The sequence below is a fragment of the Homo sapiens genome, chromosome 1 (assembly GCF_000001405.40).
Source record: "Homo sapiens chromosome 1, GRCh38.p14 Primary Assembly".
NCBI classification, from domain to species: Eukaryota; Metazoa; Chordata; class Mammalia; order Primates; family Hominidae; genus Homo; species Homo sapiens.
The window spans coordinates 66,929,881-66,948,598 of NC_000001.11; the positions used below are offsets into that span (position 1 = coordinate 66,929,881).

The 18,718-nt window shown below is 36.7% G+C and overlaps 1 protein-coding gene across 31 annotated transcripts in view, besides 1 other annotated feature; it reads left to right on the forward strand.

Annotated features, from left to right (window-relative positions):
- Positions 1 to 18,718, forward strand: part of MIER1 (MIER1 transcriptional regulator) — a 63,630-nt gene that overhangs the window by 4,891 nt on the left and 40,021 nt on the right. For 13 of the 31 annotated variants that reach the window (NM_001146110.2, NM_020948.4, NM_001146111.2 and 10 more), the window contains 2 exons: positions 10,148 to 10,172; positions 16,270 to 16,415. In NM_001146110.2, coding sequence (NP_001139582.1) covers positions 10,148 to 10,172; positions 16,270 to 16,415 — 171 coding nt within the window. Of the gene's footprint in view, positions 1 to 375; positions 521 to 10,147; positions 10,173 to 10,305; positions 10,343 to 16,269; positions 18,366 to 18,718 lie in introns of those variants that run through there. The other 18 variants (NM_001350530.2, XM_011541865.3, XM_047426266.1 and 15 more) reach the window with 8 other exon arrangements.
- Positions 73 to 892: a silencer, noted in NCBI's record as "silent region_974". NCBI's record gives its function as "represses an Ori minimal core promoter by ATAC-STARR-seq in GM12878 lymphoblastoid cells {active_cell/tissue: GM12878}" and the evidence as "EXISTENCE:reporter gene assay evidence [ECO:0000049][PMID:35858748]".

The window sequence follows — 18,718 nt, forward strand, 5'->3', positions numbered from 1 at the left end:
ATCCGTTTTTCAGCAAATGCATTTCAAAAACGACCTACATGTAAAATATTACGTATTTTTCCTCTGCTGTGTCAATGCTGGATGTGACTCCTTTGGCACTGTTCCTTGACCTCTCTGATCCGTAGACAACCCCCTCCGCCTGGAGTGGCGGATCAGCTGGAGCCAGCGAAGCGCCCCGCGCGGTTGCCCACCTCCTCCCACACCCACCTTGACTCCGCCCCCTCCGCTCTTCCCGGGGAGGGCTGGCCGCGGGGCCGCGCGCGCGCCCCTGCTCCGGCGCGTGCTCGCTGGTCTTTTCCCTCCAGTCCAGCCCAGCCGGGGCGCCGCGAGGGGGCGGAGTGGGGTGTGGTGGGCGCGCTCGGGCGGCTCCTGCGCGTTCCCGCCGAGGCAGTGGCGGCGGGAGCGGCAGAGACGGCAGCGGCCGGAGTCCCGTTGCTGAGTCTCACATCCGGGTTCTGGCCGTGACCCAGCTGCGGCCGCCGCGGAGATGTGACCCGGCAGTACGGCAAATATGGCGGAGGTAAGGGAGCGAGCTCCCCCTCCCTGTCCCGGAGCCGGGCGCCCCCGGCCCTGGGCCGGGGAGGAGTGGAGTGGGCCTGGCCAGGAGAGGCCCGGCCCTGCTGGCGCCGCTGCCCACCTGTTGTCCGGAACAGGCCATTCTCTGGGCGGGAGCTTCGCCTGGAACTTAGTTGGGATGGGTCCGGGGGTAGGAGGAAGCGGAGGCGTACTTGGACTTCGGGGGCAGTTTGAAGGGTAGTGCAGCGTAGTAGTGCGGTGCGAGGGGGAGGGGGCGCCCGCCGGGGAAGGGGTGCCTGTGGCGCAACTTCGCCGGCCGGTGCTAGGGGCCAGGAGAGAAGCTGCTGCTTCCTCTTGCGAAGTTTTTTCCCTTCCTAACCGAGATGCTGTTGCGCCCTTCCGCGTCACCCCCATCCATTTGCGACTGACATCCAGTCTGTGTTAGTGGGGAAAACGTAAGGCTGACGGCCTTTGATTAACTCTGTAATTTTCATGATCGTGGTAAAATGAGAGTGGATAAATTAATCTGGCCAGCCGCAATCCAGCCCTCCAGGTTGGGGGGAGTCTGCCCATTTATCCAGACAGTTCCATCTCCCGCTCCCCAAGGTACAACCTCTGAGCTGCTTTTCCACCTCCCCCCACCACCTTCACTTTCCAGGCTTCCCCCCACCCCCTTTCCAAATCAAGGCTACCTATTCTTGTCTTCTTTCTCTTCTAATTTTTCTTTCATTGGAGAAGCTTTTTCTTGTTTCTTTTTGCTCGTTTTATAGTAAACAAGTTCCTAAAGCCCCTTTTTTTGATTTTACATATTTGGGCCGCAGTTGGCGGGCATACAACTGCTGTTGATTTATTAATCGGAACTAAGTATACGCTACTGGAACTTTAAATAACTGGAAGTTTAAAAAATGTTTAAAATATCTGAAGTTTTGTGGGATTTGTTTTGTTTCCGTTTTTCCTTACCCGTGGAAGAATTTCAGTATTCTTTATTCCTGAGAGTTCGAGATGATGTATTTGGATTTTTTTTATGACTCCTTTGAAATAAGCCACTGTAAATTTTGATTGATAAGGCATTTCTCTTGTTTGAATTGCCATTTTCATGGTTTCACAGGCACCCCAAAACAGATTTAGGAAGGAGGGTGAGATTTTGCTGTAGCAGACAGGACTGTTTGCTGCGAGTATTCTTTTTAAAACATTCAATATCTCTAATTTACAACTAAATTTAGATCTTAGATTTATTTTCATTTCTTTTGCTCTTGGTGGTTAAAGAATTGTATTTCCAGGCACATGAATTGGAGAACGTAGTACTTTCTGTTTCCCCAAAATGTGACTGCGTTTGTTCCAGTAGACTGAGAATCGGTACCTGGATTTTAGTCCTGGTGAGGTTCTTATTCTTAAGTGTTTGTTTCCTTCATGTTTAAGGAGTTGTGTGTAGCTGGATTTATACATTTTGTCAGTTAGTGTCTTCAGTGGACCCCTTTCAGTGAATATCGGGTAAGCAGCAATGTGCTACATAGGTAATGTGGTTTCTTCTTTCATGGTGTTGCTCAGGATGGTTTGAGCTTTGAGGTGTGTAGTCATATACTAAGGCAAGATATTACTGAAGGAAAATAGCTTATACAGAGAAATTTAAGTTAAAAAACTTAAATTTAAAATTTCTGTGTTTTTAAAAAATAAATTTTATTGCCGAGGGAACTAAAAAATCTAATATGTAAAAGAAATTATGTTAACTTTTTTGTTTTAAAAATTAAAGATGGTTGCGTTATTGTAAGATAAAGGAAAAAAATATTTTGATTCACTAATCATTTCCTAATATTTTCTAATGTATGTTTTAGTTTTCTTAAATATTTTATCAGTTGGAGAATGGAATGTTTTGTGGGAACGCATGGATTGTTCAACTGCAAGAAGGAAAGAACTGGAATTTTGTTTTTATTTGGTTTTTAGTGTTTATTTAATGACCTGGTATCTTTAAACAATTTATCTTCTATATTCTTCAGTTACTTGTAGATAGTTTCATGTATAGTGAATTGGGGAAGAGTTAGAGGAACTTTCGTGATCTGTGTCCTACAAAAAAATCTAAGACAGGTGAAGAAGTGAAAAGTACAATTGATTTATAGTTTTCCTGGCCTCAATACTTGAATAATTATGACGATTTTTGAGACCAGTGGTTTTAAACAATTAGACAAAGGAGAAATGCTTGGTTGGCTTTTACTTTGAGCTCTCAGTAGATTCATTCTTTATGAAGCCAATATAAAAGCATGTGATTAAATAATCCAGATGCTGAATTATTGTGCTTTTGATCAAATAAATCTGAGGATTTAAGGATAGCTTGTGAAGTAACAGTAAGTGCAAAGCAACAGTATATATCTATTTGTTAAATCTGAGGGGGAAAACAGGTTATTGAAGAAGTATGTCTCCAGAGAAAAATGTAGGTATTATGCTTCTGGGCTTTTAAAAAAAAAAATTGATGCTTCCTACAAGAGCATGACCCTGACCATGTTTTTCCAGAAAAATATTTAATTCTTGAATAGAAAGTGCTTTAGATGAGAATAGGATATACTAATTTTTTATATTTGATCTGATTATCTTAGTCCATAATAGGAAGTATATATTGGTTCTTCAGTTGTGATAACATTAAAGCCGTATTTAATGTACTTAGAATAAATAGCATATGCTCCCTTGCTTAATACTTTTTGGCAATATTTCTCATTGCTTATTATCCCTTAAAATTATTTACCAACCTTCTAAAAGGACGCTCTCCTAGTCACACTTGAAGGAAATTACAGGATAGTTGCAGTTTTACTAACTGCAAAAATAAGAGGAAAATGAGAGAAAAAATGAGAGGAAGAAATAGTTAATCCTTTGGGTTTTATAAGGAATGTACTAGGGACCTTTGGGAACGAACAATTTGTCTTGTATTTTAGCGTTTGTAAACACGTAAGGGACTTTCTTCTCAAGGAAAAAAATCCATGGACAATTCAAGACCTGTCTTTTCACCTAGGCCACATTTCTGTGATATAAAGAGAAAATTAATGGATTTGCTTCTTTCTATTTAAGTATTTTAGTACTTTCAAAGAGGGTATATAATCTGTTTATTCACTTTCACACCTATCCATTTCTCTTTAAAATGGACTCCTTGCTTAGTATTTTTTGAGTGTATTTGGATTTTTTTAACGAAGGATTATGTTAAATGTTACTTATGAAAACATTAATTTCTACTCTAAGCAAAATGTGTTTCACTGCAGTGAATTTAAGCTTCAAATAATTCTCGACACTAATAATGAATTTTTTTTCATGTTTATACTTCAGAGCTATTAAGATTTTAAAAGTAGTCAAGATCACCAGTGCGTGAGAGTCCTAAAAATCTTAATTCATTGGCAGTTAAGAGTTAGGGTACTTTAATAGGTGGGAAAGGTTTGGTGGGAGAAACAAGTGAATTACTTTAAGATAATTCTGGTAAGTGAGACTAACCAGTTTTCTAAATAATTCAGAAATAAAACACTGCCATTGAAGCTTAAGCATGTCTTTATGAAAAGTAATCAGCTATCTAGAAATGCCTGCCTGGCTTGATGTTCATTCAAAATTCATTGCAGTGATTAAATTGTTCAAGTACCAGTCATTGCTTGGGGCTTGTTCTGTTTGTCTTATTCTGTGGCTTAGAACAATAACTTATTATGTAGGTATGAAATTCATGAAGTAGCACCCCAAAAAATTGTTTTTGCAAATTGAGATTTTTTTAACAGTCCTAGATTTAAAAAAATAAATTTAAACATATCCCATGCATTTAGCTGCATACTCCTTAGTAGTGTTAGGTTTCTAGAGCAATTTATAATAAAAGTAAAGTTAGGTCTTGAAGAAATCTAAATCTTTTGATCATAGAGAAAATGAAAGTGAGCAGAGAGTTTACGTAGTTTGTCCTAGGTCGTGCAATTCATCTATGGCACAGTTTAGACTGGAACCCAGCCTTCTGTATTCCTAGATTCCTAGTGCTTATTTTCTTTTTCTTTCTTTCTTTTTTTTTTTTTTTTGAGACAGGGTCTCTCTCTGTTGCCCAGGCTGGAGTGCAGTGGCGCAAATCATAGCTCACTACAACCTCAAACTCCTGGGCTCAGGTGATCAATCCTTCCCTCAGAGCCTCTCAAGTAGCTGGGACTATAGGCATGTGCCATCATGCCCGGCTTTTTTTTTTTTTTGTGGAGACAGGGTCTCGATATGTTGATCAGACTGGTCTCGAGCTTCTGGCCTTAAGTGATCCTCCTGTCTTGTGCTGGGATTATAGGCGTGTGCCACTGTTCCCAGTCCTTATTTTCTATGATATCATTTTACTTCTGAATTATTAATACTGTAGTAAATTGCTAATTTTAATTTCAGTACATTCTTAACCTTTTTATACCCCAGAATTCCTGAGAGTAATAACAAAGTTAAGTAACTTAATTTTATTGGAGGAGAGGGATGGTGAGCCAGCCCTTGGCACGGTAACCATCTTTCACCCTAAAGTAGGACCCCTCTTTCCAGGCTTCTATCCCCATCTCCATTGCTGTGAGAATCTCTGACTTAGAGTCTACATAACTAAGTAGATGACGGCAATACTTAAAAGAAATGGTGGTAGAATTGTTTTGAGGGGAAAAATTTGTTCAGACGGTAATACTCATTGCAAATAAGCTTTTGATTGCCTGGAATAAAAAAATCTAGTAATTACTTCATGTTTTTACTATGTTGTTGTTAGGGTTTTTTTGGTGAAAATAATGGTAATGTTGTAGTTAGTTATTTCTTTACTCTCTCTCAAATTATAGTCTTCTGTTGTATGGGACATTTCCCACCATGTTCTAGAAAAATATAAAAGAGAATTATTTCAGCAAATCTGAGGCATTGAATATTCGTTACAACTATTAGCAATTTTATCAACTAAATCATACAAATATGTGGGTGAGGGTCAACTTGCTATAAAAGTTGCTAGAGTTTGTTTTTAATTTGTTTTAGCCCATTCATACTCTGTGTACAGTCTTTCTGTCTCTCTAGTGTTGTTTTCCATCTCAGATAAGATAAATATGTACCCCCTAAAACACTGAATTTTTCAAAATTACAGCTTAAAAAATAGTAACAAGTACTAGGTTTTCTTAAAAATCAAAATTTAGAGGAAGAAAATGAAAATGTCTCATAATTCCACAAGATAATCAGTTCCCAGTGACTTTCATTTTAAGAAAGAATGCATAGTACATGAAAGTGGTTAGAAAATTTCAACAGTACAGAAAGGTATTAAATGAAAAAAGCCTCTTCTCCCTGACCCCATTCCCTAGAGGTAACTATTGTTAACAGGTTCTTGTATGTCCTTTTGAGGAAAAAAAATTTATTCCATATTATTTCATATTCCAGCCCAGTTTACGCCCTGTTCTACAGTTTTCTTTATACTCCTAATTTTTTTTGGCATTTATTTCTCTATCAACACAAACAGATATCTCTATTTTTAATGGAGTCATAGTGTTCTATTGTTTGGAAGAACTATGTATGGAAGAACTATGTATCATTTCTAATCAGCTAATGCATGGACTTTAAATGTTTTTCTACCTTTTTGTTATGAACAACTTTGTGGTAGTGAATGTTTTATATATATATGTCTTGGTGTCTTTTTTAAAATATATCAGTAGGATAAGTTCAGGTTAGCAAAATGATCTCCAGTGTGGTTGACATAACTTTTTTCTACTGATAAGGTTATGAGTACATGTTAAATATATTTTAATGCCCAATTTTAAATCATCTTTCCTAAAAAAGGTATTTTTTCTAAAAATAGGTATTGTTATAAATAAGCACTTACTTAGCTTTAGTTTAGTTTTGTTTTGTTTTTGTTTTTTTTGAGACGGAGTCTCTGTTGCCCAGGCTGGAGTGCGGTGGCGCTTTCTGGGCTCACTGCAACCTCCGCCTCCTGGGTTCAAGCATTTCTGCTTCAGCCTCCCAAGTAGCTGGGATTACAGGCGCCCGCCACCAAATTTTTTATTAAAAAAAAAAAAAGTTTTTGTATTTTAGTAGAGACAGCGTTTTGCCATGTTGGCCAGGCTGGTCTCGAACCCCTGACCTAGGGTGATCTGCCTGCCTCGGCCTCCCAAAGTGCTAGGATTACAGGCGTGAGCCACCGTGCCCACCTTAGTTTTGTTTTTCTCTCTCCTTTCTAGTTTATGGTAGTAATTAATGGTAGATGTTGTGGGTTCTCCAGGAAGGTATTGTTAAGATAACAGTTTCTGAAGACTGATAAGTCTGACATGACAGATGACTACTTGCAGTCACATTTTAAACATACTTTGAACTGATGAAAATCATTTCAAAAAAGAGAGGCCGGGTGCGGTGGCTCACATCTGTAATCCCAGCACTTTGGGAGGCTGAGGCGGACGGATCACGAGGTCAGGAGATCGAGACCATCCTGGCCAACATGTGTGAAACCCATCTCTACTAAAATACAAAAAATTAGCCAGACGTGGTGGTGTGCACCTGTAGTCCCAGCTACTCGGGAGGCTGAGGCAGGGGAATTGCTTGAACCCAGAAGGCCGAGATTGCAGTGAGCTGAGATTGTGCCACTACACTCCAGCCTGGGTGACAGAGCGAGACTCCATCTCAAAAAAAAAAAAAAAAAAAAAAGAGAAAAAGAAAAAAGTGAGGGTGAAGGAGGAGAGAAGTGAAGAGTGGAAAATTTTAGCAGTTATTTCTCTAGAAGGTACAAAAGGACACTATAAAAGGTATAGAAGGAAGAGTCAGGGTCTAGACTTCAGGCCTGCCTTCACCACCTACCATGGAACCTTGATCTAGTCAGTGTGTCTCCTTGGGTTTACTAATTTATAAAAGAGGTGGGCAGGGCAGGTATTATTCCTATATTTATGATTATGATCAGCTAACTAGATGCTTTTGAAAATGTGTAGCACTGGGTTGGGCATGGTGGCTCATGCCTGTAATCCCGGCACTTTTGGGAGGCCAAAGCAGGGAGATCACTTGAGGTCAGGAGTTCGAGACCAGCCTGGCCAGCATGGTGAAACCGTCTCTATTAAAAACACAAAAGTTAGCGAGCCATGGTGGCGCACGCTTGTAATCCCAGCTACTTGGTAGGCTGAGGCAGGAGAATCGATTGAATCTGAGAGATGGAGGCTGCAGTGAGCCAAGATCATGCCACTGCACTTCTGCCTGGGTGACACAGCAAGACTCCATCTCAAAAAAAAGAAAAGAAAAGAAAATGTGTAGCACTATATGAATGTAAGCTGGATGTACTATTTTATTTCATATCTAAATAAAAATTACCCTTATTCCACACCCAAACTTCCTATATTAAGATGCTAAACTCACTTGTTATTTTGAAAGATCATCATTTTTGATAATTAGCTATACAAAGTAATGTTTTACAGTATGAAATGTTTTCAAATACCAATTTTTTAGAAACTCATCTTTGATTTAATGGGATGTATTTAACTTTAAAGAATCTAATCTCAATCCTACCCCCAAACATATAGAACAGAATTTTATTTTGGAAGTAAAATACTAAAATATGTATGGATACTAAATGTATCTGTAGGCAGACCACTCCTAGTTCTCCACTTGTGCTAATCTAGATATGCCTTTAAATCAGTCATTGAAACATTCTAGTATGTCTGACATAATCACTAATGTTACCTTTGAACACTGGGTGTTCTACTCTGTATCAGCTATGCTTACAAATGCTACTAGTCCTCAAGCGTTTGGTATCTTAATCATTGGGAAGTGTTTGCAGCCTTTTTCAGAACTTTAACTATTTACCAATGAAGCAACAATCAGTAAGATATTTATTGGCATTCAGTGCTCCTGAGGCCTTTTACAAACTGAAATATATGGACACCATTTACAATTCAAAATCTCTATTGTTAATATCTAACATCAATAAAAATGTAACTTTTATTCTTCAGTAACTTGTAATTAGAAAGCCTTTTTTTAAATCAGAGAACTGTTAAATGGAATAATTATTCCAGTGTTCATAAGTCTTATTTTGTGTGGATAGTGAGCTAGGATTAGATGAAGATGATCATTAACATTGCTTGTAGCCTTACAGAGAAGATTGTGCCTACAGTTGGGAAGTATAACTGCGTGAAACACAAGTGGATTAATATTTTAAAATATTGATTTACTATGTAATAATTTGTGTGGTGGTTAACTCCATTTTGAACCAGAAATGTGTAGCTCTGCCCAAAAGATGTTAAGCAAGCTAGAAACCCTTTTTGTGGTTGCATTACTCTTGTCATGTCACCCTACTCTCCAAGCTTCCCATTAGAGGAATGAGATTTAAAAGTAGCACTGTATTGACTGTGTTCTGGCAGAGTAACTTTAAAATAATGGTAGTGGTGTACCATTGGAAATATGCAATACTGGTTATTGTCAGATTTTTGCTAGACAATGCTATAGGAAGGAATTATTCTAAGAATTTAACAGAAAAAGTAGGACCTTTGAAAAAGTGTGCCACAAAAGAATGAGTCACCATATGGAATCTAGAATCCCATACTTACTACAATTACATAATATGTACAGTTTTAAAAACAAATTTTAATACTTTATAGGAATTTGTCTTAGACACATTGTTTTTGAAAAATAGAGAATTTCCCTCTTTTCTGTTTTCTTCTTGCCTCTCTTCCCCATTACTTAGCAGAAAGAAAATACTGCAAGATCCCTATCTTTCCTTTGCTAGTGCTTTTGGCCTCCCACCATCTGTATTTTCTAATGGGCATGAAATAGATACTTCTGAATGAATTGGTGAAGTTTTAGTTCATGTTATTTGAAGCATCTTTTGAGTTTTTAATATTTGTTTTGTGGGAGTCTTATGTTTGTAGATTATTTGTTTATAATTGTGAATTAACTGAACTAAGATAAAACACAACTGCGCATTGTCAAGCAGTAACATTACTAAAATAAATTGCTACCAATTTTATCTTTAAATTTTCAAGTTGTTTGTGGTTAAATTTATGACAGGTAGAATGGTGGAGTGGAAGGAGCATTATAATTGGAAATCTGTGCAGTCTTGCATCAGATAACCTAAACTTTCTAGGCATTAGCTTGAATGCTTGCTAATTCTGTTATAACTTAAAAATATATTGTTTATCTGTAAAGTTAACCTAATATAGTATTTGGTGCTTAAACAGAATTTTAATTTTTCCTTTTGCTTTGTTACAACTTAATTTTTATTTGAGATAGTGTCCTAAATTGTTTCTGTCTCCCATCTTACACTCACTTTTTTTAAGTCGGAGACCAGCTTGATAGCAAACTTTGTTCATAGTTCTGTGTTGATAGGAGAAAATCTATTTCAGAAAATTCCAAGATCTAAAATCATACTACTTAAACCACATATGTTATGAAGCCCACATGTACCTTTAAAATCTGAATTCTATACTATTGTCTTTATTTCTGGATTCAGGAGTGTTTGGAATTTTTCTTTATGCTTAAATATAATGAAAGGGAAGGGATTATATGGGAAGTTTTAGTTTGTCTTGGAAAATGCAGACATTAAAACTAAAATGCAGACATTAAAACTTACTGTAGTTTTTGGCATCATAGTAGTCATTGAATAATTTCGGTAATGTTTGTGAAGATACATTATACAGAAATACTAATTTTTCCTCTTTTCTCCCCTTCTCAGCCATCTGTTGAATCTTCAAGTCCAGGTAAGTATTTTCCATATTTTTTATAATCTCGATTTGAGTAACATTTGTCCTACTAGTTGCATAAAGACTAGAGGAGTTAGACTATTATCTGACTTGCTTTTCTTCTGAATGCTTCTTTTCTCTGGGGAAAAAGAAATGGATGAAAGGTTTGACTGCCCATGAAAGTACAGGTGAGGCTACTGTGATTTCATCCTAAAAATGACTATTTTTGGGTTTTCTTTTTTTTTTTTTTTTTTTTTGGTGAGTTGCCATATGTATTTCTCACAGTTTTGTATTATTGTTTGACTTGTAGTATATATATAAATTGTGCTTTTTAAAAAGGAATCATTAGCTTAGAAATATTTGCTTGTGTAGGGATTTCAAAGTATTTTTATTTGAGAAAAAATTGTTAGTGCATTACAGAGGGAGGGGAAAAATAAAGTAAGCAAACGATTCAACAAGTGAATATTTAATGTAAATAAGGAATATTCTAAATAAGGAAATCATTCTTAGATTTGAATAGGATCAAGTTTTAGGTTCTGAGCACACATCTAGGATTTTTGTATTCTTTCTCAAATACAGTACATATTCATTTTTTCCTAACTTAGAGATTGCAAACCTGTGATCTTTGAATCAGATCTGTGCCACAAATTTTTGTTTGGCCACTGTAGTGATCTTTAAGAATATTTTATATATGAAATCTGGATTTAGGGTTCCCATGGTCTGGCACCACTGGGTACAGTAGTTCTACATGGCAGTAATTCATTGGAGTTGAAGCAGTGAGGAAAGAGTCAAGTACTAGTCTTTTATCCTCAGTGTCCAGTGACTGTCAAGAGAAATGGGACTGCCTTCTGCATGGGATATGTGGGTTAAAGAGTAGTCCAATATAGAAGAGTGAGAAAGTGAACCCTCTGAGGCATAGTAATGTTTTATTTGAAAACATCTCACATGTATTGAATACTTAGATAGGATGTATTCTGTATTACTGAATTTTCCAGATTATTGAAGCAATCACCTTTCTGTGTTTAAAGTTTTAGAAAGAAAGCTTTTAAAAATGCTTAACATAAGATAAGCCTGTTTTCATGGTGCAAGGTCCTTTCTATGAACATGAATCACTGGACTCTGAGGGTTGGACTAGATCACATCTACATCCCTTTTAAATGACTAGTGTGCTCAGCTGACGTTGATTTTGTCCTTTTGATTTCAGCTGAAAGCATCTTACTCTTTTTAATATGCTTGAGAGTAAAGTACATTAGGCTTTGTGCATTTCTGAAACTCAATTTTTTTTGAACTTTGTTTTATAAGTATATCCTGGATGGTTAAGATTGGGAGTAATCTGGTCTTAGATAAGTGTTAGATCACCATATTCATTTTTAGGACATGGAATTATTTCCGATTTTTTTTTTCAAACGCAGAAATTGTTTTCATAGAAAAAATAGATCCTACTTGTTTCTTATAGTATTGTGATATTGCAAATAAAACTGAGGAGATTTAGATATTTCTGATGAATTTTTGAGGCATTCATCTGATAGTACATAGATACATAAAATAATTACTCAGAAAGCGATATTAGTAAGTGGCTTTCTCAGTTTCCATTACATTTGAATCAGCCTAGGCTGAACTGGAAGAATAATGGAGTTTGAAGAATACAAATGTTGGCCAGGTGCAGTGGCTCATGCCTGTAATCCCAACACTTTGGGAGGCCAAGACGGATGGATCACTTGAGGTCAGGAGTTTGAGACTAGCCTGGCCAACATGGTGAAATCTCGTCTCTTCTAAAAATACGAAAATTAGCCAGGATGGTGGCACATGCTTGTAATCCCAGCTACTCGGAAGGCTGAGGTGGGAGAATCCTTTAACCTGGGAGGTGAAGGTTGCAGTGAGCTGAGATCATGCCACTGCACTCCAGCCTGAGCTATAGAGCGAGACTCCTTCTCTCAAAAAAAAAAAAAAAAACAGTCTTTGATAGCTTTGCTACTTGTTGAATACTTAACAGATAGAATGTTTATATTTCTTCAGCTTGTTTTCAGACTGAAATAGATCTTTTGAGTTAGACAGTATTTGTCATTTGAGGCTTCTGCCCAGGGCAGTGTTTATTGTTCTTATAAATAATGTTAATTACAGCCAGTTATAAAAGTTAGTAGAGAAAATTAGAAATACTCATGTAAAAAATTTTTCAGTCCCCTGATGAAAAGGCTATATCCTTTGTAGCATCTGTACTTTGCAATCAATGCTAGTAATAATAGTCACATGACCACATTAATTGCTTTGTCTGTAGTCTCCACCAGTGTAAGACAAAGTAGAGGCACAATGTAAGGCTTTTTACCTGTAAGACTAGTAGCCATTAGAGGTGGGGAATTAATGGAGGTGAAGATAATTTAAAAAGTGATTAAATGAGTAGACATGATACAAACTGAATTTACCTTTGAAAAGATGTAAGGTACCTTTTCTGCAGTAGGATAGGATTTCATGACAAAGCAGTCACATTTGCCTAACTCTGATGCAAAATACTTAATTTATACAAAGCACCAGAGCCATTACCTCTAATGATTTATTATTGGGAATTTTTTTTTTTTCCTAGGAGACAGCCTAATGGTGGGTCTAGCTATTGACAAGAATAAGATGGTTAGTTTGTTCTAAGGAACAAGGCAAAAAGAAGTCAGATAGAACAGGTCAGATTAAGGAAAGAGAAAAACTGAAAATTGAAAGTTTATAGAAAAAAGCGTAGTGTGCATGTAGGGAAAGAAATTGGAGTGAGACAGGAAGTAGTTCACCTACACTTTGTTGTTTGATGTAATAAGGGAGTGAAATGGCAAGTCTTCATATATAATTGGCTTTGCAAATAACAAAAAATGGACTTCAGGTGAGTTACAACACATGCTTTGATGCTATATACCTATGAACTTGAATTTTTTTAAAAGTCAATAGAGTGTAACAAGTATAACAAAGAATTAAGCATAATTATTTTTGATAATACCTGTGTCTAATTACAATTATATTCTGATTGGATAATAGTATACAAAGGGATGGTGTGGGGATTTTTTAGGGTCTTTCTGCCTACAAGGGAGAAAAGTATAGCATTATTTGTAGGGATACATGATTACTGACTGACTACTCAGTATCCCAGAAGATTGCTGGGTGAACTAAAAAGTTTGAGGAGAGTTTTCTCTTGAAAACTCAGAAGAGAAAAGGATTGGGACAGAAAACTACACCTATATTAATGTTTCTCAAATTGTGCTCCTATGGAACCCTTGTGTCCATTGCCTCAAGCAGTACTAAGATGCACTGCTAAAATTGTACTAAGCTTTTCTTAATTTCTGGAAGAAAATTAAGATAATATGCTTTTCTAAATGTTTTTATTTAAATTATTCTAAAACTTTGATAAGTGTTAATAACTCATTTTTACTATAATCTGGTATAAGGTATCTGATTTGGCATGTAATTATGTTTTTAGTTATTTTCTATTTAATATCAGTTCCTTTCCTTTCCTTACTATCTTTTCCTTTCCTTTCGTTTAGTTTTGTTTCCTTTCGTTTCCTTTCCTCCTTTCCTCTTTTCTTCCTTTCTTTTTTGAGATGAGGTCTCACTGTGTTGCCCAGGCTTGTCCTGAACCCCTGAGCTCAAGCAGTCCTCCTGCCTTGGCCTCCTAAAGTGCTGGGATTACAGACATGAGCCACTGCGCCTGGCCTAATACCAATATTTTCTGGTGCTTCTGAAAGGGCACAATGATGTTAAGTGCTTTGCCATGTGACCTGGCTTGCATTCACTCGTCTTAGTACATAGACTCTCCTTAAGTATTCTTTGAGGCAGTATACTAAAATAATTTACAGGAGGCTTGGAGTCCAGTAAAAGCATAGGTGTTAGGATTAGTATACCCAGGATTCAAATTCCGTCTTTGCCATCTACTGGCTTTGTAAGTTTAGACTTGCTACTTGAAATCTCTAAGCCTTGAGTTTTTATTTTTTTTTTTTCCTCTTTAAATGGGATGATAATACCTACTTCGTAGGATTATTTGAAGATTAATTGAGATAATGTATATGACATGCTTGAACATAGTATCTGGCATATGGTAAGCACTCAAAAAAATGATTCTTTTGAAAATTATTGTGAGTAACTGAAGAACCCTAAGCTTTGGGCATTCCCTTATTCATAATAGTCGGATTTTCAAGAAGTCAGCTCTATCTCTTTGCTTTACTTATTGTTTATCTTTCTGGAGTGAAATGAAAGAATAGGTACATCTATTAATGTCTAACCATCAACAGTTAAAACTTTAAAAATTGTTAATTTTTTCAATGTTCAGTAACTCATTTGTTTATCAGTAAACAATGCTTTTGCAAATCTAGGTCCACATTGGCAGTAGTAAAACTTGGGGATATTTTACATAGTCTGTAAAATATCCCCAAGTTTTACTACTGCCAATGTAGTACAATATTTTACAGACAATATTTTACAGACTATGTATGCCCAGCCTTTGCATTCTACTATTACAAAGCTTGACCCTATAGGGTCCAGCAATATTCCCCAACCACATGTCAGTTAGACATGTTTATTAGACTAGATTATTTTTAATGCCTTTGATAGGAGTTCTCTATGCAGTTTTAATAAATTTTGCTCTTCTACTCAGTCTTTGGCGTTATTTCTGATCAAAATCCACTAAGTTAAGGACAGCTACTCAAATATTAGATTTTTTTTTATTTATTTTTTATTTTTTAAAGTCAGGGCCTTGCTCTGTCTCCCAGGCTGGAATGCAGTAGTGTGATCATGACTCACTGTGGCCTTGACCTCCCTGGCTCAGGCACTTCTCCTGCCTTAGCCTCCTGAGTAGCTGGGATGACAGGCACACAGCACCACACCCAGCTAATTTTTAAATTTTTTGTAGAGACGGTGTCTCATTATGTTGCCCAGGCTGGTCTCAAACTCTTAGGCTCAGGTGATCCTCCCTTCTTGGCCTCGTGAAGTGCTGGTATTAAAGCATGAGCAACTACATCCAGCCACTAGAATGTATTTTCAAGGAAGTACTTATAGAATAATAATATTTGAGTGCAGCTGTGTCTTCACTAGACTGTGTATTCAGATGACTGTATATTTCACATGACTATACAGTCATCCTTCGATACCTGTAAACCTCCCTCGGATACCAAAATCGTGGATGCTCAAATCCCTGACACAAAATGCATAGTATTTGCGTGTAACCTATGCACATTTCTCTTATATGCTTTAAATAATCTGGTGTGTGTATATATATATATATATATATATATATATATATATATATATATATATATAAAATACCTAATATAGGTAAATGCTATGTAAATAGTTATACTGTGTTGTTTGGGGAATAATGACAAGGAAAAACGCCTGTACGTGTTGAAGACAGAGGTTTTTTTGTTTTTGTTTTTTTCTCTGAATGTTTTCAATCTGCTGTTGGTTGAATCCACATACACAGAAGCCATGGACATGGAGGGCTGACTCACAGTCTCCTCATGGGCCAGAGGAGTTCATACTCATTGGTTCTATCAAACATTAATCAAATGGTTAAGAATTGTGATTTTTAGGGCCAGGTACACCTGTAATCCCAGGACTTTGGGACGCCAAGGCAGGATGATTGCTTGAGCCTGGGAGTTCAAGACCAGCCAGGGCAACATAGCAAGACCCTGCCTTTACCAAAAAAATATTAAAAAATTAGCTGTGTGTTGTGGTCATAGTCCCAGCTACTTTGGAGGCTGAGGTAGAAGGATCGCTTGGCCCTAGGAGGTCGAGGCTGCAGTGAGCTGCACCCCAGCCTGGGACAGAGCGAGACCCTGTCTCAAAGAAGAAGAAGAAAAAAAAGAATTGAGACTTTTTTCCACACGAAAAGCCTGTTCTTATTTGATATGACCATTTATTATTTACAATTTTTTCATATTTATAACATTATAAACACTTTTAAAGCTATAAACATTTTCCTTCCATTTTTCTGTTGTAACTATTAAAAAGCAATACATAATAGTTGCTGTGCGTAGCTTTTTCTTGGTACTTTTGACTTACATCCAGCATCAAATAAAAATATATACATTAATATTAATAAGATCCACTTAATTTGGTTTACCAAACTTTTTGAAATATTCCTTACCAGGAGGTTCAGCAACATCAGATGACCATGAATTTGATCCATCAGCTGACATGCTGGTTCATGATTTTGATGATGAACGAACATTAGAAGAGGAAGAAATGATGGAAGGAGAAACAAACTTCAGCTCTGAAATAGAAGATCTTGCAAGGGTAAATAACATGTAGAGCTAGGGTATGAATTGGTTATGACTTTTTTGTGGAAAGGGAAGATCTGAAATTTTGATTCTCTGATTAGGAGAGAAATTGTGTTATATATTAATGACTGAAAAATTTTGTGTGATCATAGGTGGGATATTTAAAGTTTGAAATGAAAGGATTTAAAAACAATAACTTTATTATGTGCAATAACAGAATTCACATAGTTACTTTGGTAAAACATAGACTGTTAAATGATTCTGCTATAAAGGTCTGGTCAAAAATGGACTATAAAAGGATTCTACACGGCCTCATATATCCTTTGTCCTTCCCCAGTTACCATATCTTTTACTTATTCTCCTTCAGAGCCAAAAATTCTTGAAGTATCATTTTCCATTCACTACATAAAGTGCTCTAGATTATCTCCACTACATAAAGTGCTCTAGATTATCTCCACCTCTTCCTATCAAGGTGACCAGTGAACTTTCCTTGTTACATCCATTTTTATATTCACTTTTCTCTCACTACCTTACTTTTTCTCAGCAGTATTCAATATAGTTTAACATTCCCTTCTTTTACTTGAATTCTGGAGTACACCACTGTCTGGTTTTCTTTATCTTTTTGTTTCTATTCAGTATCTTTTGCAGACTCTTCTTCCGTTACTCAAGGTTTACATGTTGGCAGTTTGTGATTCTCAGTTTGGACCTTCTTTTTTTCTCTCCTGTCTCTGTCTGGATCAGTGCTCCTCAAAATGTAGTATGAGGGTCAGTTGCATCAGAATCAACCCTGTACTTATTTTAAAAAGCAGATTTTTTGGACCTCTCCCCCGGCATACTGAATCAGAATCTCTGGAGGTGGTGTTCAGATCCACATCTTCATTAAGTAAGTTGGCATTATATGTACACCAAATTTGAAAATCACTAAGCTGTGTGATTTAATTTATTCCCTTGGTGTGTATATCCTTAGTATTCTTTAGTTTATATTTCTAGCATTAACCTATTTCCTGTCTCCAGTTTTGTTTGTCCACCTTGACATTTCTGCTTGCTTAACTAAATGGACATCTCTAAATTATAAATGTCCAAAACAGAACTATTGACTGTTGTTTTTTTCTCTGCTTGTTCTTTCCCTGTCCTATCAGTAAAAAGTGGTACTACTATTTACCCTGTTGCCTAAGTCAGAAACCAGTGAGTCATTTTCCTTCTCTTTCAATATCTTATTTCTAAATAAACCTATCATTTGTATCCACAAGAATATCCCTTAGCCGACTCTTGATCCATTGCTGCCTAGATTACCATTCTTTCTAGCCTAGGCTATTGCAGTAGCTTCCTGACTGGTTTCCCCATTTCCTCTTTTACCATCTTTCTCCTGATACATTTCCACCCAGCAGCTGTGATCTTCTTTTCAAAATGTAAATCAATTAATATCAACCTCCCAGCTTCCTGTTATATCCAAAGAAAACCCAAACTCCTCAACCAGGCCAGCAAGGCCACCTGCATGATAATGGCCTCTTACCCATGTATCACACTACCTCTGTTATAGCCACACTAGCTGCTTTTGTTGTTAAATAGGCTAGTTTCTTCTGCTTCAAGGGTTTTCAGCTCATTCTCACTCTCTGGTATATGCATCCCAAGGCCGGCTCCTTATCCTCTGGGTTCGGTGTTGCCTCCTCAGAATAGCAGCCTTTCCTGTCCCCTAATTAGGTTTTAATTAGTTTTTTGTTTTATTTTTATTTTTTTTTAACCACTGTCCCCTATTCAATGCTTTCTTTAGTGTTAGGACACAATTTGTAATTGTTTGTTTAATTTATTGTCTGTACCTCCACTGGTTTTGAGAAGATGAAATAAAATGACTGTTATTCACCAGTGTATTTCATGGTACCTTGCAAGAGTGCTCACTCAAAAGTATTGTATGAATGAATGGATATATCAGTCTGGTATGTTCTAATAAAATATATCATGCATATGATTTCCTGTACTCCATGATAAAAAGAACATAAGAAATAAGACATAGTGCCAGTCTTTAAGGATTTGGAATACATAATATCATGAAAAATGAATGCTTATACTTTTATGGTAATAAAGACCTATGTCTCATAATTTTAGTTTGTAACTTTTTAAAGTATACATTTAAAGAGCTCAAAAAGGAGTTCTATTACTGTTTATTGAAATCTTGTCAGGTGTTCCCATTGTGGGATTAGAGCTGGCTTTGGGATTAGATCATTTAGTGATTACAGCTGACTTAATCCACAATGTCTGAATAATTTAATGTGTCAAAGGTGTATATTGGCTATCACAAAAGTCTTTCAAGAATGGGTTAAA